This window comes from Homo sapiens, chromosome 1, assembly GCF_000001405.40.
Source record: "Homo sapiens chromosome 1, GRCh38.p14 Primary Assembly".
Lineage (NCBI taxonomy): Eukaryota > Metazoa > Chordata > Mammalia > Primates > Hominidae > Homo > Homo sapiens.
The window spans coordinates 27,368,406-27,396,186 of record NC_000001.11 but is presented as its reverse complement, the minus strand read 5'-3'; the positions used below and the strand labels follow the sequence as shown (position 1 = coordinate 27,396,186).

General features: G+C 54.2%; 3 protein-coding genes across 7 annotated transcripts, besides 5 other annotated features; 2 read left to right on the top strand and 1 right to left on the bottom strand.

The window, feature by feature from the left end:
• Positions 1-372: 372 nt before the first annotated feature.
• GPR3 (G protein-coupled receptor 3) lies at positions 373-3,565 on the bottom strand. Its single transcript, NM_005281.4, has 2 exons — positions 3,450-3,565; positions 373-2,393 (listed from the first exon to the last, which is right to left on the bottom strand). Exon 2 carries the CDS (start codon positions 2,386-2,388, stop codon positions 1,396-1,398), a length of 993 nt encoding a protein of 330 aa, NP_005272.1. The 5' UTR covers positions 2,389-2,393; positions 3,450-3,565; the 3' UTR covers positions 373-1,395.
• Positions 1,177-1,974: an enhancer, noted in NCBI's record as "H3K27ac-H3K4me1 hESC enhancer chr1:27720717-27721514 (GRCh37/hg19 assembly coordinates)". NCBI's record gives its function as "activates a minimal SCP1, AML or CMV promoter by ChIP-STARR-seq in naive H9 embryonic stem cells {active_cell/tissue: H9 hESC(naive)}" and the evidence as "EXISTENCE:reporter gene assay evidence [ECO:0000049][PMID:30033119]".
• Positions 2,803-3,338: an enhancer, noted in NCBI's record as "H3K27ac-H3K4me1 hESC enhancer chr1:27719353-27719888 (GRCh37/hg19 assembly coordinates)". NCBI's record gives its function as "activates a minimal SCP1, AML or CMV promoter by ChIP-STARR-seq in naive H9 embryonic stem cells {active_cell/tissue: H9 hESC(naive)}" and the evidence as "EXISTENCE:reporter gene assay evidence [ECO:0000049][PMID:30033119]".
• Positions 3,362-3,861: a silencer, noted in NCBI's record as "silent region_515". NCBI's record gives its function as "represses an Ori minimal core promoter by ATAC-STARR-seq in GM12878 lymphoblastoid cells {active_cell/tissue: GM12878}" and the evidence as "EXISTENCE:reporter gene assay evidence [ECO:0000049][PMID:35858748]".
• Positions 3,876-4,412: an enhancer, noted in NCBI's record as "H3K27ac-H3K4me1 hESC enhancer chr1:27718279-27718815 (GRCh37/hg19 assembly coordinates)". NCBI's record gives its function as "activates a minimal SCP1, AML or CMV promoter by ChIP-STARR-seq in primed H9 embryonic stem cells {active_cell/tissue: H9 hESC(primed)}" and the evidence as "EXISTENCE:reporter gene assay evidence [ECO:0000049][PMID:30033119]".
• Positions 4,413-4,949: an enhancer, noted in NCBI's record as "H3K4me1 hESC enhancer chr1:27717742-27718278 (GRCh37/hg19 assembly coordinates)". NCBI's record gives its function as "activates a minimal SCP1, AML or CMV promoter by ChIP-STARR-seq in primed H9 embryonic stem cells {active_cell/tissue: H9 hESC(primed)}" and the evidence as "EXISTENCE:reporter gene assay evidence [ECO:0000049][PMID:30033119]".
• CD164L2 (CD164 molecule like 2) lies at positions 12,854-17,011 on the top strand. Of its 4 annotated transcripts, XR_241190.4 has the most exons (7): positions 12,854-13,035; positions 13,520-13,687; positions 13,788-13,859; positions 14,363-14,407; positions 15,992-16,136; positions 16,678-16,755; positions 16,876-17,011. XR_241190.4 is itself a non-coding variant. In XM_011541441.2 (6 exons), the coding sequence occupies exons 1-6, from the start codon at positions 12,948-12,950 to the stop codon at positions 16,877-16,879; spliced, it is 522 nt and encodes a 173-aa protein (XP_011539743.1). In that variant the 5' UTR covers positions 12,854-12,947; the 3' UTR covers positions 16,880-17,011. The 4 variants fall into 4 exon arrangements, 3 of the variants coding, with proteins under 3 accessions (XP_011539743.1, NP_001317377.1, NP_997280.2); XM_011541441.2 differs by lacking the exon at positions 16,678-16,755; NM_001330448.1 differs by having other exon boundaries at positions 16,678-17,011.
• On the top strand, positions 21,363-27,077 carry FCN3 (ficolin 3). 2 transcript variants are annotated; one of them, NM_003665.4, is made up of 8 exons: positions 21,363-21,459; positions 21,736-21,831; positions 22,178-22,222; positions 22,667-22,699; positions 22,924-23,051; positions 25,215-25,344; positions 25,457-25,591; positions 26,710-27,077. In NM_003665.4, exons 1-8 carry the CDS (start codon positions 21,369-21,371, stop codon positions 26,949-26,951), a joined length of 900 nt encoding a protein of 299 aa, NP_003656.2. In that variant the 5' UTR covers positions 21,363-21,368; the 3' UTR covers positions 26,952-27,077. The 2 variants fall into 2 exon arrangements, with proteins under 2 accessions (NP_003656.2, NP_775628.1); NM_173452.3 differs by lacking the exon at positions 22,667-22,699.

The following is a 27,781-nucleotide window of genomic DNA, read 5'->3' as shown; positions in this document are numbered from 1 at the left end:
AAAAAAAAAAAAAAAAAAAAAAAAAGTAGGACCTATTATTATTAAGGAAACTGACATGCTTTGAGCATATTCATCATGTCTAAGCCCCACAGTGGCCGGTGTGGGCAGGATGTGAGCATCCTTGACCCAGGAAGAGCCAAGCACCCAGGTTCCTGTCACCAGGAGGAGGTAAGGTCCTTGCCAGTCAGTGCCCAGGTCTGAGCAGAGGGGCACTGACATCTGAGAAGGAGTCACCTGCCAGCCACCCTCCACCCTCTGTCCAGCTCCCCAGATCCCCCAACAGGCCCCCCAGGCCTGGCTTGACCCTCTCATTCCAGGCCATCCCCCATCAGGCCCCACTCCATACCCTCCACACACACATAGGGAAACATATTTATGACAAAATCATTTTTTATTGAGTTGGGTTGGAGACGGGAACAGGGAATGCACTGGGGGCCATACCCCGGTTGGCAGAGGGGTGGGGTGTTGGCTCGTGCCCCCCCTCCTTTAGGGCACCGCAGGGTGAGGCTTGGCCCCCAGGCCATGGCTGTGGCCCTGGACGCCAGGCTGGAGTGGAGCTGGGGTTGCATTCTGGTCCCAGCTGCCTGGCCGGGCTGCAGTTTTCCCCAAATGGCCACCAGAGGGCAGTCGGACCCCAGCGCAGAGGAATTTTTGGTTGCTCAGGTGATGGCTTCTTAAAAAAATAAAAAACCAGAGGCTGGTGTGTTCCCCTTCCAAACCCGAGGAGGGCAGGCCTGGGGAGAAGGCTCTGGTTTCTATGATCTCTTCGATAAAAAATAATCCAAAATAATAACAAAATACGTGGTTTCTCTTTCACCCTTTCCCCCCTCCAGGAACTGAGGTCAGAAATGGGGGTGAAGGGACAAGGGATACCCTGGTATGGCCTGGATATCAAGGTGTGGGCCTCTTTTTTGCCCCTTACCACCCATAAGTAAATTTATAAATAAATAAATCAATCATAAATAGACACTGTCTTTGTATATGTGCATATATAATCTTTCTCTCTCCTATTTAGGCAACTATGTGACTAATCTCTCTGACTCTTTAGCTCAGAAATTCAAACATAAAGTGACATGGTCAAGGTCAAGTTTGGGGGAAGAGGGACATCTGGGACTTGGAATGGCACTGTAAAACTCCCAGCATTCTGGAATTGCAACCCAGCTGGGCTGTGAGACATTTCTGAGTAGAACACTGACCACCTGAACATTCTGGAACCGTGGAGCCAGCTGGGCCCCCATAGGGATCTGAACAGAACCTTGAAACACCCAATGTCCTAGAACTCCAGAACCAGCTGGGTCTGGGGGGTGTGGAGCTGGGGGTTTGGAAAGAAGCCCTGGAGAGCCTAACATTCTGGAATTCTGTAGTAATCAGGGTTGAAGGGTCATGAAGACTCAGCTAGACATCACTGGGGGAGCGGGATCGGAAGGGGATCTTGGAAGAGGAACAGCAGCAGCAGACAGCCCACAGCACTTTCTGCACATCCTGGTTGCGGAAGGCGTAGATGATAGGGTTGATCATGGAGTTGTAGGTGGCAGGGAGCAAGGTAAGATAGGTGTAGAGAGGTGGAGAGTGGGCATCACCCAGCAGGCAGTAGACAGTGAAGGGCAACCAGCAGGCGGCAAAGGCTCCAAGCACCACGGCCAGTGTGGCAATGCCCTTGCGGGTGGCCACATAGTGGGAGGCAGGCAGCAGGTGCCGCTGAAGGGCAATCTGCTGGGCATGGCGGCAGACGATGCGGCAGATTTGGGCGTAGAGCTGCAGCATGATGCCAAACACCATGAAGAAGGCAATGGCCAGAACTACCAGATGGTTCTTGGAGAGTGGATAAACCACGCCACATGTGGTCAGGCCATCCAGGCAGTTCCAGGCCAGCACAGGCAGCAGCCCCAGGCCCAGGGCACCTCCCCACACTAAGGCCAGCATCACATAGGTCCGTGTCACTGTTGTCTCTGAATAGTAGGTGAGGGCATTGTACAGAGAAAGGTAGCGGTCGACAGTGATGGCCAGTAGACTGCCGATGCTGGCGGTAAAGGCCATTGCCAGCACGCCAACCAGCACCAGGCTCATCTCCGCTGAGCCGATGCAGAAGACAGCAGCAAAGTGCAGGACCAGGCCCAGGCCTGCCAGCAGGTCTGCCACGGCCAGGCTGCCCACCAGCAGGAACATGGGGGCACGGAAGGCAGGAGTGCCCACGATGATGGCCACCACTAGCGCATTCTCGCAGGACACCAGGGTGCCTGAGATGCAGAGCACCACATCCCAGGCCTTAGGCGAGGGCAGTGGTGCGGCTGGACCTGTGGGCCCCTCTGCTGGGCCCACGCTGCTTACATTCACGTTGCCTGAGCCAGCTGAGAGCCAGGCCAGAGGGCTGCCTGCACCCCACATCATGGTACCTGCAGGAGAAAGGCCTTGTGAGAAGCTGACCAAGCTGGGTGATGGGAGTTGGGGTCTGGAGGGGGTGAGGTGCTTCTCAGGATACGTGGTGGGAGTCTCTCCTCAGGATACCTGATAGGGTCCCAATGCCTTATCCCCACATTCATGCCCTGGGGCTCTTCCCAGGATACCGCTGTCCCCTCCAATGCCCCCAGGCCTCTAAACAGGGGTCTCTTCCTGGGGATCCCTGTCCTAGGTCCTGCAGGTCTCTTTTTCCCACGTGTGTGACCAGAGGAGAGACAGAAGAAGGGGTACTATAAGTGGAAGAGGGCCATAGGATCCAGGGGATGCCCCCGAAGGCTCAAGATTGGGGTAGGGAAACATCTACCCCATCAGGGAGACTGAGCAGCTCCGCTCCCTCCCATCAGAGATGATGATGCTAGCTCGTGCCTGAGGCTCCCAGACCCCTCACGATTTTCAGTACTGCCAGCCTTAGACTCCGCCCCCAGGGAATGCGCGTGAAGCTCCCGCCAGCCATCACCCCGCACTCCCGCGGTAACACCTGGGAACTCAGCCCCCCACCCCCCACCCTCCCAGACTTCTGTTCCTGGCTGGACCCTTCTTTCCGCCTGAATCTCTAGGTCTCTGGGCAGACCCCCCTGCTGGAAGACTGGATCCCTGAGTCAGATGCCTCCTTCTGCCCGGACACCTGGATTTTGGGCCTGACTCTGCCTCCTGCCTGGATACCTGGATTCCTAAATTGGACACCTCCTGCTGTTCGGACCCCTGGGTCCCTGCCCCAGACGCCTCCTGCCGGCTTAACCTCAGATGACCATCAGTCCCTCCAGGGCCTCGGGTCCCTGCAGGAATGCTTACCCTTCGCCGGGTCATCCAACTCAACCCCAGCACTCGAGCACTTGGGCCCAAGCCTGCTAACCCAGAATCGCCTAAACCCAGAATTCCCACCTCGAACTCGAACCCCGGCCGGCCACTAGGAGCCTTCCGCCGGCCCAGTGCCCCAGCATCCTGCGTGCCCTTCAGGACCCCTGGTGCCCGCGGCGGGGCCCGCTACTCACCGCTCAGGACCAGGCGCGGCCGGGCCGCGGGGAGGCTCCGCTCGGGTCCTGGCGGCGCAGGGCGTGCGTGGACCCCGAGAAGCCCCCGCGGCCGCGGGAGAAGCGGCGTGAGTCACCCCGCCCCGCCCCCGGCCACCGGTTCGGTGACGTCAGCGGTCCGATCAGCCAATGGGCGCGGCGCGCTGGGGCGCAGCGCGCGTTGCGCGGCATAGTAATAAGGCCTCGCACCGCCCGCTCCCCCATTCATAAAAAGCGACCGTGGCTGCGGCCCCGCCCCCTCCCGAGTCCGCCCGCGCTGTCCTTGACGCGGCGCCCTCTGCGGGCCGGGGGTTTCAGAGGCGCCGGTGCGAGAGCCTTGAAGTCTCAGAGAGGCTGCAGGGAACGTGGTGGAAGAGTGGAAAGGGGGCCCGGCTAGGCTGTGGGGTGATGGGACCCTTGGGTGGCAGAGAGGCTGACGAGATCCAGGTGACGAAGGAAGAGCTTGTGATGGGGCTGGTTGGGCTTCCCTGGTGAGAATGACAGGGTTTCCAAGATGATGGGGCCCTGAGGTGACGATGACAGGGAGCACGAGGGAGCGGGGAGGTGGGTGGCAGTGACGACATTAGCATGGTGACAGAATCTTGGGGTGGGGGGTGATGGCCGTGGGACGCTAACGGTAGAGGGGAAGCCCTCAGGGCAACCATGGCAGTGTCAGGGTGACTATGCAGCAGGGGGGAGTTCAGGGACCCCGGGATGGCAGAGGCAGCGGCCTGGGAACATGGAGTGTCCAGGTGACTTCAGGTCACCATTACCCTGTCAGAATGGCTGGGGTACTGAAGCGACAATGCTAAGCCATGAGGACTGTGGGGCCCTGGAACGAAGATAGCAGGTGGCTGTGGTGAGTGGGCTCCAGGGTGAGGGGCACAGGGTAGAGGGTCTGGACTGACAGTGACCAGGCAGGTAAGTTGCTGCCAGGGCAAGTCCCGTGATGCCGGGGCTGGGATAAGAGCTGGGTGACGTCACTCATGTCAGCCCAATAGCGCCCTCACAGCACCGGAGGGGTGGGCCTGGCAAGATTTCAAAACCTGAATTATTTATTCCAGTATCTAGAAAGCCAGCGTGGAGGGGGTGAGGGGTGCACTTCCCTGAAGCAGGAGGAGATGGGGAGCCGGGAAGAACTTGGAAGCAGAAAGCCTGGCAGCTCAGTCCTCAGGGCAGGCCCCTCTCAGCCTCCTATTTTAGGCATCCTGATGGGTGGAGCAAGGAGAAAGAGCTCCCTCTTCCCCAACGCCATCTGCCCTTAGTCCAGGGGAACCACTCTGGGCAGACTTCTCCAGATGTGACAGATGTGGCCAGTCCTGCGGCAGGGGGACTGGCTGCTCCTTCTCCCTGTGTCTCTTGCCTTGATGCTCCCTGGAATCATGCAGGCCTGTGGGAGGGGAAGATGAGGTTAAGAGGCCTGAGGATCCCAGGCCCCACTGGACACCCCCATCACAGCACCATCACTGCAGCCCCCATGGTCAGCCTCCACCAGGCAGGTTTTGGGTTTGAGTGTGAGGCAGCAGAAGGTCAAGTGGCAGGGAACATGGGAGGAGGAGGGGGTCGGAGCTGGAGAAGAGGATTCATTTCAGGTTGGATGTGGTGAGTTTAGGGGGCTTAGGGGGTGGAAGTGTCCAATCTCAGTTTCTCCATTTCCTAGCTGGGTGACTTTGGAGAGTTTCTTCAGCTCTCTGTGCCTATTTCCTCATCTAAAACACAGGGATAATATTAGTACCGGCCTCATGGGGTTGTTGAGTGGGTTCTACTTGCCATTGGCCATCAATGTTACAGCTGGATAATGAGGGACACCTGGGAGGTGTAGGCATGCAGGTGGCAACTGATGTTTTAGGGGTAAATAATGTCACCCAGGGGCGGGAGCAGAGAGTGAGGAGTGGCTTCAGGGGCTCCTCCTCCTGGGCTCTTGCACCTGACCCCTCTGACAACAACCCTTCTCTTCATCCAGGTCTCTGCTCCCGAATTACTTCTGAAACAGGCTGCTCTGAACTCTCAGATCGCCACTGGCCTCCCCATCACTCTCCCTCCCCTTCTCTTGATTTATTCATTTTTGGAGGATGAAGCACTCTTGAAATTATAAATGAATTCATGTTTGTTTGTTTTACTACATGTCAGCCCCACTAGAATCTAAGCTCCAAGAGGATACTGACTATGTCCCATTTCTGCTAGAGAACAGTGCCTGATATGTAATGGGTATTGAAGAAATAATCATGGACTGGATGATTGACCTAAAAGGGAACAACCAGAGGAAAAAAGGAAAACAGAGAGAATAGTAATATGCCTGGTGCCCAGGAAGGTGGGGGTGTCAGAGAGAGGATCCAAGGGCATCAGGGCCCCAAGACTCAGGGTCAGGGATCCATTTACTCCCCCATCAGAGCTGGGTCCCTACAGAGTTCTGGTCTCTGCGATGGGTGAAGGCTGCTGGGAGGTTGGCATCAAAGGGGGGTATCAGGGACTATCTTCTACTACTCTGAATGGCAATTATATATTTTTTAAGTTTTCGTAGCTTATTGATCCTCTGGTGAAAAATCTTCACCATTGCTGCAGATAAAGCCATTCCTGTTTGCCAGCACCAGCACCACACTCTTGTGACTCCCTGGCTGTCGTCATTCTGTTCTTGAGTTCCTTTAGCTGTTTTCTTGAGGTCTTTTTCTTTTATGTCTTGCAAGTCTGTGTTTGGATTAATTTTTCTTTGCATAATCCAAGGAATCATAAATCATAACCAAGCCAGTTGTCTTAACACCACCAAAATGGGTTCTGTCTTTTTTTTTCGTTTGTTTGTTTTTTGAGACAGGATCTCAGTCTGTCACCCAGGCTGGAGTGTAGTGGTGCAATCAATGCTCACTGTAGCCTCAACCTCTTGGACTCAAGCAATCCTCCCATCTCAGCCTCCACAGTAACTGGGATTACAAGCACGTGTCACCACGCCTGGCTAAGGCGTGTAATTTTTGTAGAGACAGGGTTTCGCCACATTGCCCAGGCTGGTCTTGAACTCGTAGGTTCAAGTGATCTGCCCACCTTGGCCTCCCAAAGTGCTGGGATTACAGGCATGAGCCACTGTGCCCAGCCCAAAATGGGTTCTAAATACAAAGATGAAATCCAGAGTGGTCTTCTACTTTTTGACTAGTTTTCTGTCTTAGGTATTGTTGTCTTCCCAGGGTGAAGGACACGGAAGACCATCATTTCCACTGAAGTATTGGTCATGAACTTCCTGATCCTGATAGTTATCCTGTTGTTTGCAAGGGAAGTTGATCCTAAGGCAGCCAGAGAGGAAAAGAGAGTGCAGTGACATTTCTTTTCTTTCCTTTTTTTTTTTTTTCCGAGACAGTTTTATTCTTGTTGCCCAGGCTGGAGTGCAGTGGTGCAATCTCGGCTCACTGAAACCTCTGCCTCCTGGGTTCAAGCGATTCTCCTGCCTCAGCCTCCCAAGTAGCTGGGATTACAGGTGCCCGCCACCATGCCCAGCTTTTTTTTTTTTTTTTTTTTTTGTATTTTTAGTAGAGACAGGGTTTTACCATATTGGTCAGGATGGTCTTGAACTCCTGACCTCAGGTGATCCACCCTGCTCAGCCTCCCAAAGTGCTGGGATTACAGGTATGAACCACCGCACCCGGCATGCAGTGACATTTCTAACCCCGAGAAACCCAGGAGAGCCAAGAGACTAAAGGGGGGCTATGGGTTTTCACGTGAACCTCATGTGCTCTCCCTCACGCACCAAAAGTGCTCATACCAATCAGGTCTCCATTCCCCGCATACTTGCTCTCTAAAGGAAGAGATAGTTCCTTCTCTCCTATTCTCCTCATGCCCTCTGTCCCTACCTCCTTGACACCTCCTCCAACCCTTCCCACCTACCAGGTGCCCAGCCAGAGCCCAAGGCTTACAACAACCTGCAAAAGTGAGGGACCATGTCTCCATTTCTTGGGTGAAGCCCAGGAAAGCCAAGGGACTTGCCCCAAATCACATAGTAAATGGCAGAGCTGGGATCTGAAGCCAGGTCCATCTGTCACCAAGTCCAGTGTGCCTTCCATTCTGGCCTAGATGTCACCTTCTTCCCAGAAGGGGCTGAGGCTAAAGTTTGACTAGGGCTGACAATACCTGCAGTTCTCCAGGTGGCCACCAGATGGCTGTGAGGACTCACTTCCAGGTGAGACTTTTATCCTTGCCTCTTCTGTCTTCACCAGTTGGAGAAATCCCTTGGGGAGGGAGGAATTGGCGGGGAGGGGGTGTTCGTGCGTGTGTGCTTGTGTGTGTGTGTGTGTGTCAGTCATAGATAATCCCCACACCTGAGTCCCTTGTCTAAGACCCAAGGGTCTAGGCATCATCAGTGCCCATATTCTTAGCATAGACCCATTCATTCAGCCATTATTTACTGGCAGTTCCCCTGGGCTTAGGGTTTGTTCAGTGGGTGCTAGGGACAGAAAGATGATCTGGCCAAATTCCTGCCTTTTCAACAGTCAATAGACACATTTATTGAGCATCTTCTATTTCCCGGGTACAGAGAATACAGCAGTGAACAAAAATCCCTGCCATCTTCAATGAGCTTCAGTTTTATTAATTAATTTATTTAGTTAGTTATTTTGAGACATAGTCTTGCTCTGTTGCCCAGGCTGGAGTGCAGTGGTGCAATCTCAGCTCACTGCAACCTCCGCCTCCCGGGTTCAAGCGATTCTCCTGCCTCAGCCTCCCGAGTAGCTGGGACTACAGATGCATGCCACCACGCCTGGCTAATTTTTGTATTTTTTAGTAAAGACAGGGTTTCACCATGTTGGCCAGGCTGGTCTCGAACTCCTGGCCTTAGGTGACCTGCCCACCTCGGCCTCCCAAAGTGCTGGGATTACAGGCATGAGCCACTGTGCCAGGCCAAGCTTCAGTTTTAATCTGGAGGGATGGACAATCTACAAATAGATCCTTAAAATCTATTCAAGTAGGGAGCTCTTGGGGGCCTCACAGACCAGTGGGACAAACATGTACACAGATGGTCACAACATGGCATAGTAAGTAAGGTTACTTAATAAACATCTGGCTGGGCATGGTGGCTCACGCCCATAATTCCTGCACTTTGGGAGGCCGAGGTGGGTGGATCACCTGAGGTCAGGCGTTCGAGACCAGCCTGGCCAACGTGATGAAATCCTGTCTCTACCACAAATGCAAAAAATTAGCCAGGCATAGTGGCAGGCACCTGTAATCCCAGCTACTCAGGAGGCTGAGGCAGGAGAATCACTTGAATCTGGGAGGCGGAGGTTGCAGTGAGCCGAGATCACCACTGCACTCCAGTCTGGGCAGCAAGAGCGAAACTCCGTCTCAACAAACAAACAAACAAAAACCCCAACATCTATTCAGCCCTTACTGTGTGCAAGGAGTTCACTAAGGAGGGAAGATCAACATGGTTCCTGCCTTCATGAAGCTTACAGCCTAGGAAACAAATGAGTAATTAATTATACATTAGCTACCTGCTCTGAAGAAAAGAGCAGCTGTTGGGATGTAGGATCACCAGGTGGCCTCTTTTAGGGAGGGAGGTCATGGAACAAGTCACGTGAAGAGAGAACAGGAGTCTTAAGGAGAGGACACGACAAGTGTAAAGTCCCCAAGAAGAGAAAGCATTGATGGGTGTGAGGACCAGAGAGAGGAGGCTAGTGTGTCTGCAGCTAAATCAGCAAAGGGGAGAGGGAGGAGAGGCGAGGTGGGCAGAGGCAAGATCATGTGAGACAGAAGGGAGCTCTTGGGGGCTTACAGACCGGTGGGACAGACAAACATGTACACAGATTGTCACAACATGGTACAGTAAGGTTACTTAATAAACATCTGGCTGGGCACAGCGGCTCATGCCTGTAATTCCTGCACTTTGGGAGGCCAAGACGGGTGGATCACCTGAGGTCAGGAGTTCGAGACCAGCCTGGTCAATATGATGAAACCCCGTCTCTATTAAAAATACAAAAAATTAGCCAGGTGTGGCAGCGGGCGCCTGAAATCCCAGATCAGTGAGACAGACGCCATTGGTGGGAGGGAAGTGTTATGATCTGAACTGACACGTTATCAAAGGGTCACTCTGACTGCTGAGTGCAGAACAGACTGGAATGGGGAGCAGGAGCCCCACTAGAAGGCCACTGCAGTCATTCAGGCAAGAGATGGGGAGGGCTCTGAAGTGGAAAAAGCAGATGGATTTAGATCTCTAGCTAAGTGCTGCAGCAGCTCAGCCTCATTCTGTGACAGTCACAGAAGGCTTCCTGCAGGAGGTGGTCTTGTAGTGGTGTCTTGAAGAATTAGTTTGCCAGGCAAATGAAGTCCAAGGTTGAGGAGGACCCTCTAGGAGAGAGAACAGCTAGGATAGAGGAAGAGAGGTATAGGGGGAAGGCTCTGTTCTATCTTCTTAGAGGGTAGGAAGGTGATGGGAAGCACCCAGGCCAGGATAGAGAGACTTCTAGAGCCAGAAATCAAAGGGTTGTGGAGGTCAAGCCATTGTTGAAAAGTTGTTAGGTGGGGCCAGGCATGGTGGCTCACACCTGTAATCCCAGCACTTTGGGAGGTCAAGGTGGGTGAATCATTTGAGGTCAAAAGTTCGAAACTGGCCGGGCACGGTGGCTCACGCCTGTAATCCCAGCACTTTGGGAGGCCGAGGCAGGCAGATCACCTGAGGTCAGGAGTTCGAGACCAGCCTGACCAACATGGTGAAACCCTGTCTCTACTGAAAATACAAAACTAGCTGGGCGTGGTGGCACATGCCTGTAATCCCAGCTAGTTGGGAGGCTGAGGCAGGAGAATTGCTTCAACACGGGAGGCAGAGGTTGCGGTGAGCTGAGATTGCACCATTGCATTTCAGCCTGGGCAACAAGAGCGAAACTCCCTCTCAAAAAAGAAAAGTTCGAGACCAGCCTGACCAACATGGTGAAACCCTGTCTCAACTTTAAAAATACAGAAAATTGGCCGGGCACGGTGGCTCATGCCTGTAATCCCAGCACTTTGGAAGGCTGAGGCGGGCGGATCACAAGGTCAGGAGATCAAGACCATCCTGGCTAACATGGTGAAACCCTGTCTCTACTAAAAATACAAAAAATTAGCCGGGCATGGTGGCGGGTGCCTGTAATCTCAGAATCTCAGCTACTTGGGAGGCTGAGGCACAAGAATCCCTTGAACCTGGGAGGTGGAGGTTTCAGTGAGCTGAGACTGTGCCACTGCACTCCAGCCTGGGCAGCAGAGTGAGACTCAGGCTCAAAAAAAAAGTTGCTAACTGGAAGAGATATGGTCAAATATATGATTTGTGAGGGCCAGCATAGGAGGGGCCTGGAAGCTGCTGAGATGCAGTGAGGCGTACAGAGGGAATACAAGGGGACAGAACCTGAAGGACTTTTTAAAATTAATTAATTAATTTTATTTTTTATTATTTTTATTTTATTTTTTTATTAGACTTTAAGTTCTAGGGTACATGTACACAACGTGCAGGTTTGATACATAGGTATACATGCGCCATGTTGGTTTGCTGCACCCATCAACTCATCATTTACATTAGGTATTTCTCCTAAAGCTATCCCTCCCCAAGCCCCCCACCCCCCAGCAGGCCCTGGTGTGTGCTGTTCCCCCTCTGTGTCCAAGTGATCTCATTGTTCAATTCCCACTTATGAGTGAGAACATGCAGTGTTTGGTTTTCTGTCCTTGTGATAGTTTGCTGAGAATGATGATTTCCAGCTTCATCCGTGTCCCTGCAAAGGACATGAACTCATCCTTTTTTATGGCTGCATAGTATTCCGTGGTGTATATGTGCCACATTTTCTTTTTTTATATATATAATATATATATTTTATTATACTCTAAGTTCTAGAGTATATGTGCACAATGTGCAGGTTTGTTACATATGTATACATGTGCCATGTTGGTGTGCTGCACCCATTAACTCATCATTTACGTTAGGTATATCTCCTAATGCTATCCCTCCTCCCTCCCCCAGAACCCGAAGGGTCTCTTTTCCCCTGAGTGGGCAGTTTTGGGGGCCTCAGGGACACTCAGGTGGAGATGCCGTGGACCCATGGGAGGCACAGCAGAGGGAGCATGGCCTCCAGCATCATTCAATCCTAGCTTTACATCCTGGCCTGCTGCATTGAAACCCTGTGCCCCTGAGCAGCCTGCAAATGGGAAATGACAAAACTCATGCCTAGAGGGTAGCTGTGGACATTAGATGGGAAGTTGCATGTAAAAGCTCTCAAAATGTACATTCGGCTAGTAAGGGGTCAATAATTGCTAGCTATATATTGTCAGTTACAGGTGTGGCAGTTGTGAAGTCAGAACTGGCCTGGAGATGATTAAGAGATCTGTTGGCTCAAAAAAAATTTTTTTAATGGGTGCATAGTGGGTGTATATATTTATTGGGATACGTGACCTGTTGGCATTCATTCATTCATTCATTTAAAACAGGGTTTCACTCTGTTGCGCAGGCTGGAGTGCAATGCCATGATCACAGCTCACTACAGCCTCAAATCCCTGGGCTCAAGCAATCCTCCTGCCTCAGCTGTTGGGTTTCAAGTGGGGACTGATGGCAGTGGAATGTCCAGGATGACCCCAGGAGAGTGTGGAACAGGGCTTGGGACTAACCTGGGCCACCATCGATTAAGAGAGGGTTAGGAGAAGCAGATGGGGGAAGGAGGGGAGAGGAGGGGAGGAGGAAGAGGAAGGAGAGGAAGTGCCCCCTAAGGAGCCTGAGGAGAACCAAAAGAGGCTGGTGCCAGGGCAGGAGTGGTAGCCGTGGGGAAGGCTGCGGAGAGGCCCAGTTGGCCTAGTAATGGCGTCACCCCTGACCTGGCCAGAGGGTGTGGTAGGCCAGAGGCAGACACAGCGGATGAGGGGCAGAAGGGAGGCGGGTGGAGGGGTGCAGTGAATGGAGAGGGAGCACCGAAGCTAAGCTTGGGCAGCCAGAGGGCAGGGGCCAGCTAGGGCCCGGCCCAGCGGTCATGGGGCCTGGGTGGAGGGTGTACAAAGCGGGGCCTGCACCGAGCCCTGAAGGCAGGGAAGTGACCTCGTCTCGAATCCAGATTTTTGCCACTGCCTCTCTCCGTGACCTCGAACGAGTCACTCATCTTGTCTGAGCCTCAGTTTCCTCACCTGTGAAGTAAGGATCAAAGCAGTCGGTACTTTCCAGAATTTTCAAGAAGCTGCCCTTGGAGGCACATAGTAACCACGCCAGCCACCAGTCCTGGACCCCACCTGCTTTAGTCCAAGCCCCGCCCCAGACCCCCGAACTCACCTGGCCGCGCACACTAGCCACGCCCCTAACTGGCCCCGCCTTCACCTGGCTCCGCCCCGACCGACGAGCCCCGCCCCACCTGCCGCTCCCACTGGCCACGCCCCCACCTGGCCACGCCCCGGTTGCCCAGGTCTCGCTCCGCACACGCTCAGCCGAGCCCAGTCTGGGAGGGACGCGCCCGGCAGCTGTCCACCGATCCCGGCCACCGCCCCCGGCCACCCCCACCCCGCGAGCCCATGGAGGCTCCGGGACCCCGCGCCTTGCGGACTGCGCTCTGTGGCGGCTGTTGCTGCCTCCTCCTATGTGCCCAGCTGGCTGTGGCTGGTAACTCGCGGCAGGGTCTGGCTAGGGGCTCGACGGGGACGGATGGAGCTTGCACCTCAGCCAGCCGTCTCCCCAGGAGCAGCCTGGGCTTGAGGGGAGGGGGCTTTCCGGCCAAGTGCAGGCCTCCAGGGGTGGGAGAGGGGGCTCCAGCTCTGTGTGGAGCCCTGTGTGTAAATATAGGCCCCAGGTGTGGGGGCCTAGGGAGCTTCAGGTGGTCTGGGGGAGGTGGCTCCAACTGAATCTGGGAACCCCGGGTGTATGCAAAGGGAGGGGCTCTGGGTGAATGTGGGGAGGCTCTAGGTGTGTGTAGACCTCTGCTGTGGAAGCTCCAGGTGTGCGCTGGGGCTTGGGGATCCAGGGGTGAGTGTGAGAGCCCAGATGTGTGCAGAGGGGCGAGGGCCACCGGAGTGTTGGGTGGGAGGGTGGGCGGGTGCCACAGCTTGGCTTCGAGGAATTCTCCCTTCCCACTCCACCGCACTACCAGGTAAAGGAGCTCGAGGCTTTGGGAGGGGAGCCCTGATCCGCCTGAATATCTGGCCGGCGGTCCAAGGGGCCTGCAAACAGCTGGAGGTCTGTGAGCACTGCGTGGAGGGAGACGGAGCGCGCAATCTCTCCAGCTGCGTGTGGGAGCAGTGCCGGCCAGAGGAGCCAGGTATGGAGCTGAGCCCTCCCCAGATTGAGTGCCCCCAGCTCTGAACCCCAAGGCCCTGGCCCCTCTCCCCAAACCTCCCCCCTGCACCTTCTCTCACCAGGACACTGTGTGGCCCAATCTGAGGTGGTCAAGGAAGGTTGCTCCATCTACAACCGCTCAGAGGCATGTCCAGGTAAGGGGGTTCTTGCACCTAAGCCAAGTTGCATGGGTCTCCCCAGCCATAGCCTGCCCCCCAGGAGGAAACAGCCTCTCTCAGGCGGTGGATTTTGCTCACCCATACCTGGGCCCGGTATCAGTTCTGCCTTTAGCTCACTGAGAAGTCCCCTCCTCTCTCTGCCTATTTCCTCATCTGAAAATTAGTACAGGTGTGTGGAGGGGATGGGAGTGTTAGCTCTTCTTCTAGTTTAAGGCATAGCAAGGACTTTGGAAGTTCAGAGGGAATGAGAGGGAGTGCTTCCTGGAGGAGGTGGCATCAGTAATGAGCCTGGAAGGTAGAGATGGAGAGAGAGCACATCTGGTGGAGGGAACTGTGTGGGGCTTGCAAGTATGTTGGATGTCTAGAGTAGGGACAGGGCTGCATCTGAATCGGAAGTTTAGCGGTGAGTGGGGGCTGGGGTCTTGATGGGAGTCAGGGGGTGGGAAGGCTGCTTTGCTATGGATCACCTGTCTCCTCAGCTGCTCACCACCACCCCACCTATGAACCGAAGACAGTCACAACAGGTGAGTACTCCCTGGAGACGGGGCAGTGGGAGGAGCAGAGGTGCAGGGGAAGACAGCTCTGGGCTCAGGCACTGACATGCTCTGTGACCTCGGCCCTGCGCCTTCTCCCTCGGAGCCTGTCTCCGCATCTGTGAAATGGGTTGGATGATGCCTTTCTCATAGAGTTGCTCTGCAGGTTTTATGAGAAGCTGTACAGTGCCCACTTCAGTGTCTGACTCACTGAAGGCAATCAAGAAATGACAGTTCCCATCCCTCCTCCCCATTGCCAGTTCTGGGAACTCAAGGTCACCCCTCGGGACTTGTCCTTGGAGGTGAGGGTGTGTGGCTCGAGTTGCTCAGGAGACATCCTCAGTGCCTGCCTACTGCACCCTCCAGGCCCAGAGAGGGTCACAAGGCGGGTTCCTGGCGGAGTAGAGGCAAGAATGCCACCCTTTGCTTCCCACTCCCTCTCAGGGGCTGGAGGTCACCAGACTTGGCAGGGATGGCTGAAGAGGCCCTTGGTTAATTAAAGCCAGAAACCGATCTCAGAAGCTGAATTATTGATGGCTCAGCTCCCTCAGCTGGAGCCCCGGATCAGCCTCATGTGGCTCATTTCTCCCCTCTTCTGCTCCTCATCCCCCAGCTTCCTTCTCTGGGGCTCCCTGAGCGGGAGCTGGGACCACTGTTTGCCCTTCATATTGTCAGACTCCTTCCACCCCTTACACCTTCTGGGAGGGAGACCCAGTTCAGGCTGGGCCCCTTTCCACTGTCCCAGAATGATCTTCCATCCACCAGCCCTGCCCTGTTCTGGGCACCCAGCCCAGGGCCTGAAATCAAATCCCTGCTAGGAGTGGACAGGTACCGTGGCACAGCTGGGAGCCACCCAGGCATAGCCTGGCAACCATGGCCCTAAAGCCCTACCTTCTAAGGGGCAGAGGAGATGGTCAGGGGACCCTGTGTGAGTCTGGCTATGTCCTGTGAGGTGACTTTGGCCAAGCCTGTCCCTCAGCCATGTTCCCCCTGACACACACTGTCCAGTCCTCGCTTACCCACTTAGCAGGGTGACAGTTGGGGCCTCCACTTCTCCCCCTGCTCCTTCCCTCTCTGAGGGCTCTGACATTGGGTGACACTGAGGTCTTAGGGCTTAGGAGTCCTGAAAAGGGACTATATCGTCTGCATCTTGGCTCTGAACCCTGAGGTCCAAGGCTGAAAGGAATTGTGAGCAGGGGAGGGTCTGAGTTCTGGCTCTGTCTTCACCCTATTGGGCTGGTGAGGCCCAGGGAGGGTGGGAGCCCAGTCACTGGTCCAAGCCACCAATTGGACCATGTGATCATGAGGCCCAGAGAGAATGTGGGTGGCATAAAAGCCACAGAGCAAGCCAGGAGCAGAGCCAGGGCTGGACAGCACCCCACCCTCCCCTGCCACTGTTCCTCCCACCAGGCGCTTCCCAACTGCCTGCGGGATCTGGACTAAACGGAGCCCAGGGTTTAAGCACCCCATATTGAGGACCGGGGCCTCCAGGTTACTTGTGCCAGTTATGAGGGTAGGACTGGGATCCTGGTTCACAGTGACTGCTATGACCCCTGCCCTGCCTCACCCCTGCAGGGAGCCCCCCAGTCCCTGAGGCCCACAGCCCTGGATTTGACGGGGCCAGCTTTATCGGAGGTGTCGTGCTGGTGTTGAGCCTACAGGCGGTGGCTTTCTTTGTGCTGCACTTCCTCAAGGCCAAGGACAGCACCTACCAGACGCTGTGAGTACCTGGCCAGCAGCAAGTACCTGAGTCCCAGCTTACCTCCTGGTTCCTGCCCCACCGTTCCCCTTCAGTACCCAGGGTGCTGTCTTCTCCATGGGCAAGCCCTCAGGACGGTGACAGCGTGCTCCATGTGAGCCACACCCCTTTTGTCTCCTCCAGTTGGGGTGTTTCCTTTGTCAGATGTTGGCTGGGACCAGGACTCAGCCTGGGCCAGTCTAGGAGCCCAGCTGAGCCCTCCTGTGTCTTTTCCCTTCATGCTGCCAGCAGGGAAGAGAACCAGTAGGTGCCAGCCCAGGCAAGCCTGTGGCCCGCGTTTCTGTGGCTGTGGGCAGGAGCTGGGCCTTGTGTCTAGTTGGGTTTTGCTCTGAGAAGGGGAGCTGTGCCTGAGGCCCTCTGTGTGCCGTGTGTGCTGTGGGGCGGGTCGCCACAGCCTGTGTTAAAGTGTTTGCTCTTCCTCTGCTGCCTCCTCTCGAGGCAGGGGGTCCTTGGCTGGCTGAGGCAGTGTCACCTTCCTGAGTGTCCTCTTTGGCCTCTGCAGAATCTGACCCCTTTGGGCCTGGACTCCATCCTGAGGGGAAAGGAGGATGCAGAGGGTGGCCTCTGGGCACCCTTGTGGGTAAGCGGGGGGCGGGGGCGGGAAAAACTCTGGCCGCCAGTTTTTGGCTCCTGCGGGCACCAAGCAGGCTCAGTGTCTGATGCCTGACATCTCCTCCTGTCCTGGGCCTGGAACCTGCAGCTGAGAAAATCCCTCAACCACCTCGTCTCCTCCATCGCCCCTGCTGGGCCCCCCAGCCTGACAGTGGGTTGTATGCCTGCCTCTTTCCACCAACTGGCCTGGGCACTGCCCCCAAATAAAGGAACTCTGCACTGCACTTCATGTCCTGTGTCTTGGGCTGTGTGTGGATTGGATGGGGTGAGGGTACGGCCATTGTCCTCTTCTTAACGGGAATTCCAGCTAGGACTGTCGCTGTTACCTTTTAAAATATTTTCATCTGGCCAGGCGCAGTGGCTCACGCCTGTAATCCCAGCACTTTGGGAGGCCGAGGCAGGTGAATCACCTGAGGTCAGGAGTTCAAGACCAGCCTGACCAACATGGTGAAACCCCATCGCTACTAAAAATACAAAATTAGCTGGGCGTGGTAGCACACGCCTCTAATCCCAGCTACTTGGGAGGCTGAGACAGGAGAATCACTTGAATCCAGGAGGCGAAGGTTGCAGTGACCCAAGATCGTGCCATTGCACTCCAGTTTGGGCAACAAGAGTGAAACTCTGTCTCAAAAAAAAAAAAATGTTCATCTTTGACACCTGCTTAACCCCCACCCCTTGCCCCTTTACAGATGAGGGTACGGAGACTCAGGTAAGTACACATGCTGAAGTCACACAGCTGGACAGGGCAGGGCCGGGGTTTCAATTCAGGCTTTTCTGGGCTGGGCATCATAGTTCATGCCTAAAATCCCAGCACTTTGGGAGGCTGATGTGGGCGGATCACTTGAGTCCAGGAGACCAGCCTGGGCAACATAGTTGAGACCCCATCGATTAAAAAAAAAAAAAAGTAAAATTAAAATAAAAAATAAAATGAATTCAGGCTTTTCTGACTCCAGAGTGAGCAGAACAGCATTCCAGAGGCATCTCCAGGCTCTCTCGGCCTCCAAAAGTTAGGTCTCTGCCCCCGCGCCAAGGGGGAAAGGGCCCCAGGGACTCCACGCAGCCATTCCTGGCCTTCCTCTCTCAGGCTCTCCTGGGAAGGCCTGCCTTCTGTCCCCAGGCACCGAAGTCTTCCCTGACGGTAACATCGCCCATGGATGGGCGCTTGCCAGGAGCCAGGCATGTAGCTGCGAGTTTTATAACTTTTTATTTTATTTTATTTTTTCTTTTCTTTTCTTTTTTTTTTTTCTTTTTTTTTTTTGAGACAGAGTCTCACTGTGTCGCCCAGGCTAGAGTAGAGTGGTGAGATCTTGGCTCACTGCAACATCCACCCCCCCCTGCCAACCACAGTCCACCTCCTCACCCCTCCCTTGCACCTTCACTTCCGCCAAAGCTCCAAGCCTCTGGAAATCAGCCTCCCCTTTGTGCACTCCCCCGTCTCCCTAGAGCCCCTGCTGCTTCCCCTGTATGGGATATGATAACACCCCATCTGCCCTTGCCTTCTCTCTTCTCTAGGCTTCTGCATGAGCAGCTCCTCCTGCCTGGGTCACCCTGCCCTTGTTTCTCCCCCAGCATGAGTTTTCTTCTTCACCCTCCTCCTTTATTGGGTGCTTTCTTTTTTTGCAAAAGTAGTAAATGCCTGTGAGGGTTTGAAAAAGGACTATACAGAAGAGTGAGAACTGGGCTGGGTGCGGTGGCTCATCCCAGCACTTTGGGAGGCCGAGGCAGGAGGATTGCTTGAGCTCAGGAGTTGGAGTCAGCCTAGTCAGCCTGGGCAGCATGGCGAAACCCCATCTCTACTAAAAATACCAAAATTAGCTGGGTGTCGTGGTGCACGCCTGTAGTCCCAAGTACTCAGGAGGCTGAGGTGGGAGGATCACTTGAGCCTGAGAGGTCCAGGCTGCAGTGAGCCAAGATCATGCCACTGCACTCCAGCCTGGGTGACAGAGTGAGACCCTGTATATATTAAAAAATAAAAAACTGGCCAGGAGGTATAGTGGCTCACACCTGTAATTCCAGCACTTTGGGAGACTGAGGCGGGATGATTGTTTGAAGCCAGGAGTTTGAGACCAGCCTGGGCAGTATAGTGAGAACCCATCTCTACAAAAAATAAAAATTTAGGCGGGGCAAAGTGGCTCACACCTGTAATCCCAGCACTTTGGGAGGCCAAGGCGGGTGGATCACTTGAGGTCAGGAGTTTGAGACCAGCCAGACCAACATAGTGAAACCCTATCTCTACTAAAAATACAAAAATTAGCTGGGCGTGGTGGCACACACCTGTAATCCCAGCTACTTGGGAGACTGAGTCAGGAGAATCACTTGAATCCAGGAGGCGGAAGTTGCAGTGAGCCGAGATCAAGTCACTGCACTCCAGCCTGGGCAACACAGCAAGACTTTGTCTCAAAATAAATAAATAAAATAAAAATTTAGCCCGGTGTGGTGGCTCTGCCTGGCATCCCAGCTACCGGGAGACTGAGGTGGGAGGACTGCTTGAGCCCAGGAGGTCGGGGCTGCAGTGAGCTATGATCACACCGCCACACTCTAGCCTAGGTGAGAGAGTGAGACCCTGTCTCCAAAAAAAAAAAAAAAAAAGAGAGAACAACTCCTTCCCTGGTCCTACTCTCCAGAAATAACCACAGTTCACAAGGTCTGTGTCAGACCTCTTTCTGTGAATTTACAAAATACATATATACACACCTCTAGCATTTTAAAAATACAAAGTGGGATAATGCTGTGCATACTGTTTTGCATTTTTGCCCCTCTCATTTTAGATCAGATTCACCCTGTGAGTTGTCTGAATGGTCCTAATTCATGTGAATGCCATCAATGACTGGTTGGGTCATTTCCACACTGATGCTTACAAACAGCGCCATGGTAAACAGGCTTGTCTGCAGATCTTGGCATACTCGTGGGACAGTCTGGGGAAGACAGATTCCTAGAACTGGAATTGCGGTCTCAGGATATCCCTCTCGCGGACACATCCTGTCAGGCAAACACTGCCTCCACTTCCCCTGATACCACTTGCACCTCAGCCCTCTCCATAAGCACCAGGGAGGTGCAGAGGAGGCCTTGAGGGAGGGTTTCCTGAATGAGTGAATGAATGAGCCCTGCCTCTCCTCCCTTATCACCTGAGGTCCCTCTCCAGCTCAGGCCTGATCCTTCACATCTGGACCCTGGCTGCTGCGTCCTCCCTGGCTTCCCGGCCTCCAGGCCTTCCTACATGGGCTTCCCGCTCAATTGGCGTACATTAGCAGCTGTTTCCTAAGCCTCACGGGACTCAAGGTTGAGCATGGAGTCACTTTCTTTTTTTTTGAGACGGAGTTTTTGCTCTTTCGCCCAGGCTGGAGTGCAGTGGTGCGATCTCGGCTCATTGCAACCTCTGCCTTCGGGTTTCAAGTGATTCTCTTGCCTCAGCCTCCTGAGTAGCTGGGATTACAGGTGCATGCCACCAAGCCCGGCTAATTTTTGTATTTTTAGTAGAGACAGGGTTTCACCGTGTTAGCCAGGCTGGTCTCGAACCCCTGACCTCAGGTGATCTGCCTGCCTCGGACTCCCAAAATCCCGGGATTACAGGCATGAGCCACCGCAGCCAGCCAGAATCACTTTCTTAATGGTGCTTTTCCCTGGCGGGGGCATGGGGCTTGGGTAAAACTCTGTTGCTCTCAGCATATAAGTGGCCAAGAGAACAGAAGTCACGTCCCATCACTGGGCCTCAGTTTCTCTTTCCTTATTCATTTAACTCTTTCTTACTGAGCACCCATTTTGTACCAGGCCCATAATGCAATAATAAGGATTAATAGCAAGTCCATGTGAGGATCGGAGGTGACGTCAGTATGACGCTGGAATGCAGTAGATGCCCAGGAAATGGTAGCAGTTGTCACTATTCATAGCATTGACAAGGATCAGGGAAGGATTCCCAGTGGAGATGGCTGTAGAGCTAGACCTTCATGGACAGATGGGGCTTCACAGGTAGAGACGACTGTGAATGTAGAGGTCTGGAGAGATGGCTGGGGAGCCCTGGAAGCCAGGATCAGAAGTTGGACTCTTTCAGTGTGCGGTGGCTCACACCTGTAATCCTAGCACTTTGGGAGGCCGAGGTGGGTGGATCACCTAAGGTCAGGATTTCGAGACCAGCCTGGCCAACATGGTGAAACCCCTTCTATACTAAAAAAAAAAATACAAAAAATTAGCTGGGCTTGGTGGCGTGCACCCATAATCCCAGCTACTTGGGAGGCTGAGGCAGGAGAATCACTTGAACCCGGGAGGCAGAGGTTGCATTGGTTGCATTGAGCTGAGAGCACGCCATTGCATTCCAGCCTGGGCAACAAGAGTGAAACTCCGTCTCAAAAAAACAAAAAAACAAAAAACAAAAAACAAAAAGATGTTGGACTCCATCCTGGTTGGATAGGGCAGGGATAATGCCCTTTCTCTCTGGGGCTGAAGGAGGAAATACTCCCACCCCCTGCTGGCTCCAGTCTGGGTGGGGTGTCCCTGGGGGACAATGGGAGGAAGTCTTGTTTCATGTCCTCCCACCAGCCTGGCCCCCTTATAATCTGGCATCCTTCCCCTGGTGGGCCCAGCAAGATGGATCTACTGTGGATCCTGCCCTCCCTGTGGCTTCTCCTGCTTGGGGGGCCTGCCTGCCTGAAGACCCAGGAACACCCCAGCTGCCCAGGTGGGCACCTAGGGTGCCCTCCTCACCAACCCACTCCTCATTCCCTCGCTGGGTGTCCCCCCACCAAGGCTCATCAACCTCAAGGAGCAGGGTGGGAGTTTCATAATCTGGGCTCTGCATGTAAATATATGCAAATGGATGCAAAGCACACGAAACCTTGCCAGCTCAGGAGACAAGCATCCTGACAGTGGGAATCTGGGAGACAGGAAGAGAACTGAAGAGGGGTCTGGAAGAGACAGTCTACCCTGTGCCCACCCTGCCTGTGTCTCCCTGTAGGACCCAGGGAACTGGAAGCCAGCAAAGTTGTCCTCCTGCCCAGTTGTCCCGGAGCTCCAGGAAGTCCTGGGGAGAAGGGAGCCCCAGGTCCTCAAGGTGAGAGGGGCTGGGGAGCGGGCTGGGATCTTGGGAATGGGGAAGGCAGGAAAGTAGCAATTTTTGTCTGTGCTGAGGGGCCACGACAAAGGAGCAAGGAACCTACTCTGTGCCAGCTCCAGGCTGGGCACCCGGCATCCTAAGATCAACTCTGCCAGGTAAGTGGTTTCATCCCCATTCTGCTGAGGAGGAAAGGGAGGTTCAGAGAGGATAAGATATTTGCCCGCAATCACAAAGTGAGTGAAGGGTGAAACTGGGATTTGAACCTCTGGCTCCAAGTCTCTTGTTTCTTTTTGGTCCTGGGCATGGGGTGGGACTCAGGAAATCTCTGCCTTTGTGATTTCAGGGCCACCTGGACCACCAGGCAAGATGGGCCCCAAGGGTGAGCCAGGTGAGTAAGTGGGGCTGGAGGCCTCCCCGCTTTCTTTGCCTCTGTCCCTGGACTCTAGGGTGGGATCTCTGCTTGGCTGCTGTGCCTATGATGGCTCTCTCACAGGGGAATGGATGGCTGGGAGGAGTGGGAAGGATTAGGAGAAGGGCCTGGCTACCCTATGATGGCCCTCCTATTGGGGATGGAGGGCTGGGAGGAGTGGGGAGGATTAGGAGAAGGGCCTGGGTACCCTATGAAGGCCCTCCTACAGGGTTTGGAAGGCTGGGAGGAGTGGAGAGGATTAGGAGAAGGGCCTGGGTACCCTATGATGGCCCTCCTACAGGGTATGGAAGGCTGGGAGGAGTGGGAAGGATTCGGAAAAGGGCCTGGGTACCGGCTCCACTGGTGGCTCAGCGCTGGGGTGCTGAGACATCAGAGCCAACACTCATCCCTTCTCTGGGGCAGGAGATCCAGTGAACCTGCTCCGGTGCCAGGAAGGTGAGGCAGCCCTTGCAGGAGCCAGGAACTTGGGATCACATGGTGTTGGGTGTTGGCAGACCCCCAAGTGTGGCCAAGATCCTCCCCACAGCCTCCTCAGAACCCTTCTTCAGGGACCTGAAGGAGCCAAGAGGGTCCCTAGGGTCCCACACTTGTTCCAGTGCCTGGGGGTGGGGGTCAGGGAATAACCTGGGCACCACCCCAGTCCATCTCCCCTTTCCCAGGCCCCAGAAACTGCCGGGAGCTGTTGAGCCAGGGCGCCACCTTGAGCGGCTGGTACCATCTGTGCCTACCTGAGGGCAGGGCCCTCCCAGTCTTTTGTGACATGGACACCGAGGGGGGCGGCTGGCTGGTGAGTGTCTGAGAAATGGGCTAACAGGCCAGGCCCACTGGTCACTTCTCCCCCTTGGCCCCTAGGGGAGCCAGAACCCACCAGAGCAAGGCATTTCCTAGAGGAATTCACTGACAAATGTTTAGTGAGCCCCCAATGGGACCTGAAGAAGTATGAGGGCTTCACAGAGGAGGTGCCTTTTGAAAAGACCTTAAGTTGAGTGCAGTAGCTCACGCCTGTAATCCCAGCTACTTGGGAGGCTGAGGCAAGAGAATTGCCTGAACCCAGGAGGTGGAGGTTGCAGTGAGCCGAGTTCTTGCCATTGCACTCCAGCCTGGGTGAAAAGAGTGAAACTCTGTCTCAAAAAAAAAAAAAAAAAAAAATAGGGTAGGGAGGGGCATTCCAGCTAGAAGTAAAGATAAACTCAGGGAGGCAGCAGAGTAAAAGGTTTGCAGGGAACGCGTGAGTGAGCTGAGAGCAGGCGTGGGTGTCGGCTAAAGTCTGCCGGCACTGACGGAACATGGATTGAGGACCTCTGTAAAGGCCAGTTCATGGAAGGCACTAAATGATCAACTTAAGAAGTGTGCAGCGCGCCCAGACGCGGTGGTTGGCTGGACGTGGTGGCTCACGCCTATAATCCCAGCACTTTGGGAGGCCAAGGCGGGCAGATCACCTGAGGTCAAGAGTTCGAGATCAGCCTGGCCAACATGGTGAAACCCCATCTTTACTAAAAATATAAAAATTAGCCAGGCGTGATGGTGGGCGCCTGTAATCCAAGTTATTCAGGAGGCTGAGCTGGGAGAATTGCTTGAACCCCGGAGGTGGTGGTTGCAGTGAGCCAAGATTGAGTCACTGCACTCCAGCCTGGGCAACGGAGTGAGACTCTGTCTTAAAAAAAAAAAAAAAAAAGAAGAGTGTGCAGGGCAATGGGTAGCCCCAGGAGAGTTTTAAGCAGGGGAGGGGCCAAGTAGAACTTCTGTTTTAAAAAGATGATTCGGGCTACACCATGAAAGATGCACTGCATTGGGGGACCAGTGGAGGCAGGGACATGGTTTAGGAAGACAGCAAGGAGCCAGGCAGTAAAGACAGTGGAGCAGGCCTGACACAGTAGCTCACACCTGTAATCCCAGCACTTTGGGAGGCCGAGGTGGGTGGATTGCCTGAGCTCAGGAGTTCAAGACCAGCCTGGGCAACATGGCAAAACCCCATCTCTACTAAAAATACAAAAAATTAGCTGGGCGTGGTGGCAGGTGCCTGTAATCCCAGCTATGCAGAAAGCTAAGGCACGAGAATTGCTTGAACCAGGGAGGCAGAGGTTGCAGTGAGCCGAGATCACACCACTGTACTCCAGCCTGGTAACAGGGGGTGAGACTCTATCTCAAAAAAATAAATAAATAAAATAAGACAGTGGAGCAATGGAAATAGAAGTACTTAGGTTGACAACTCTATAGGACCTGGGGCCTACTTGGCTTGGAGGGGGAGGTGGAAGACATCAGGGTAAGGCCAGGGGTCCAGCTTGGGCTGTGGGAGTGGCCTCTCTAATGTAAAATATCTTGGTTTTTTTGTTTGTTTGTTTGTTTTGAGACGGAGTCTTGCTCTGCTGCCCAGGCTGGAGTGCAGTGGTGTGATCTCGGCTCACTGCAACCTCCACCTCCCAGGTTCAAGCAGTTCTTGTGCCTCAGCCTCCTGAGTAGCTGGAACTACAGGTGTGAGCCACCACACCCGGCTAATATTTGTATTTTTAGTAGAGACGGGATTTCACCATGTTGGCCAGGCTGGTTTCAAACTCCTGACCTCAAGTGATCCACCCGCCTCGGCCTCCCAAAGTGCTGGAATTACAGGCATGAGCCACCAAGCGTTCTTGGTTCTTATAGTAAATGAAATTGGGTTATTTTGACTGACACCCAGCAGCGCTGGCCATCTCCTGTGGGTGGGGACAGTGTTTTGTCAATTCAGTCTTCCCAGGGCTTGCAAGGCTGTGGCATGAAGTTGAGTGTCAGTAAAAGTTAACAAGGGAATGTAGAGTTCATAGAAATATTCAAAGCTAACTTGAAGGATCCCCATTTTATCAACAGGCCCCAATCCAAAGAGAGAGTGGGTATCCACCCACCCCTCACAGTTCCTGCACCCTCAGCTGCCAGTGCCCAGCCTGGAGTAATAGCTGCTGTGCCCCCCCTCCCCCAGGTGTTTCAGAGGCGCCAGGATGGTTCTGTGGATTTCTTCCGCTCTTGGTCCTCCTACAGAGCAGGTTTTGGGAACCAAGAGTCTGAATTCTGGCTGGGAAATGAGAATTTGCACCAGCTTACTCTCCAGGGTGAGTTCCCAGCAGGGTCCTGGAGTCTGGGGGTTACTGTCTGCCATCCTGAATCCCTGCCCCACCCCCAAGAACTGAGGATTCCTCCATCCCTGCCTCCCCTTCTTTCCAGGTAACTGGGAGCTGCGGGTAGAGCTGGAAGACTTTAATGGTAACCGTACTTTCGCCCACTATGCGACCTTCCGCCTCCTCGGTGAGGTAGACCACTACCAGCTGGCACTGGGCAAGTTCTCAGAGGGCACTGCAGGTGAGTGAGCCTAAGGGGAGCAGAGGAAGGAGGCTGGATCCTTTCCCAGTGCTGCCACTGCCCCCATGAATGACCCAGGGCAATCCTGTCTCCTCTGTGGGCCTTAGTTTCCGCATCTGAGAAATGGCAATCATGAAACAGGATGGTGCAACAGTGAAGAATTTGGGATCTGGAGGCAAACAGACCTGAGTTTGAATCCATCTCTGCCATTTAGTACTTATGTGACCTTGGGCAAGTCCTACCCCTCCACTGAGCCTCAGTTTCCTCCTCTATAAAATGGGCAGGGAGGCCGGGCACGGTGGCTCATGCCTGTAACCCTAGCACTCTGGGAGGCCGAGGCGGGCAGATAACTTGAGGTCAGGAGTTCAAACCCAACCTGGCCAACATGGTGAAACCCCGTCTCTACTAAAAATACAAAAAAATTAGCCGGGCGTGGTGGAGGGTGCCTGTAATCCCAGCTACTCGGGAGGCTGAGGCAGGAGAATCACTTAAATCTGGGAGGCAGAGGTTGCAGCGAGCCAAGAGAGTGTCACTGCACTCTAGCCTGGGCGACAGAGCGAGACTCCATCTCAGAAAAAAAAAAAAAGGCGGGGGGAGCGCAGGGAGGCAAGGAGGAAGTTTTGGGTGCCGCCTGAGGCTCTGTTGAGTGTTAGTGTTCTCTGCTTTGGAAGAGGAACCACGGAAGTCTTCTTTCAGAGAAACAGTGACTATTGGGGAGAGATTTAAAAGAGGGAAGTGGTTATGAGGGAGTGCCTCAGGGAACCACCTTTCCTGGCCAGGCACCTAAGAGGTTCCTCCCAGCTTTTCCTAGCAGAGTTGCTCAGACTGGATGGGAGCTGAGAGAAGACAAAGGAGCTAGAGGGGGGCCGGGGATTCTGGAGGGGGTAAGACAGGGGGAAAAGCTGGGAGCTTTGGAGCCAGACAGTCCCGAGTTCAAGTCCTGCCGCTGCTTCAACCAGCCGAGTAACCCTGCGCAAACAACCTGGCCCCTTGGTGTTGCTCGTGGGGCCTGATAAAATTCAACTCTTAGTTGCTCTGAGACTCCCATGGCATTATATCTCCAAAGGTGCCAGGCGTGGTGCTGGGCACCAAGGTGCTTTCCATCCCTTCCCTGCTAGGGGATTCCCTGAGCCTCCACAGTGGGAGGCCCTTTACCACCTATGACGCTGACCACGATTCAAGCAACAGCAACTGTGCAGTGATTGTCCACGGTGCCTGGTGGTATGCATCCTGTTACCGATCAAATCTCAATGGTCGCTATGCAGTGTCTGAGGCTGCCGCCCACAAATATGGCATTGACTGGGCCTCAGGCCGTGGTGTGGGCCACCCCTACCGCAGGGTTCGGATGATGCTTCGATAGGGCACTCTGGCAGCCAGTGCCCTTATCTCTCCTGTACAGCTTCCGGATCGTCAGCCACCTTGCCTTTGCCAACCACCTCTGCTTGCCTGTCCACATTTAAAAATAAAATCATTTTAGCCCTTTCAAGACTCTTCCAGTTACTGGGAAAAAACCCTAGAGGGCAGAGCAGGGACACAAGTTTCAGCTCCATTCAGGGAAGAATTTCCTTCCAGTCAGGAAGATGGAAAGGACAGCCTCTAAAGTAGTGAGGCTTCTGTCTCTGGAGGTGTGCAAGACAAGGCCAGAGGGGCATATAGTGGAAGGACTGGAGGAGATTCAAGCATCCATTGACAATTTCCTGAGGCTCTCTGGGTCCTGCAAGTGGATGGCTTTGTGGCAGGAATTGCACAATTGCACAGCTTTTTTGTTTGTTTGTTTGTTTGTTTGTTTTTGAGACGCAGTCTCGCTCTGTCGCCCAGGCTGGAGTGCAGTGGCACCATCCTGGCTCACTGCAAGCTCTGCCTCCCAGGTTCACGCCATTCTCCTGCCTCAGCCTCCCGAGTAGCTGGAACTACAGGCACCCGTTACCACGCCCGGCGAATTTTTTGTATTTTTAGTAGAGACGGGGTTTCATCATGTTAGCCAGGATGGTCTCAATCTCCTGACCTCATGATCTGCCCTCCTCGGCCTCCCAAAGTGCTGGGATTACAGGTGTGAGCCACTGCGCCCGGCCGCTTTTTTTTTTTTTTTTTTTTTGAGATGGAGTCTTGCTCTGTCGCCCTGCCCAGGCTGGAGTGCAATGAGCCAGAGGGGCATACAGTGGAAGGATTAGAGGAGATCCAAGCATCCAT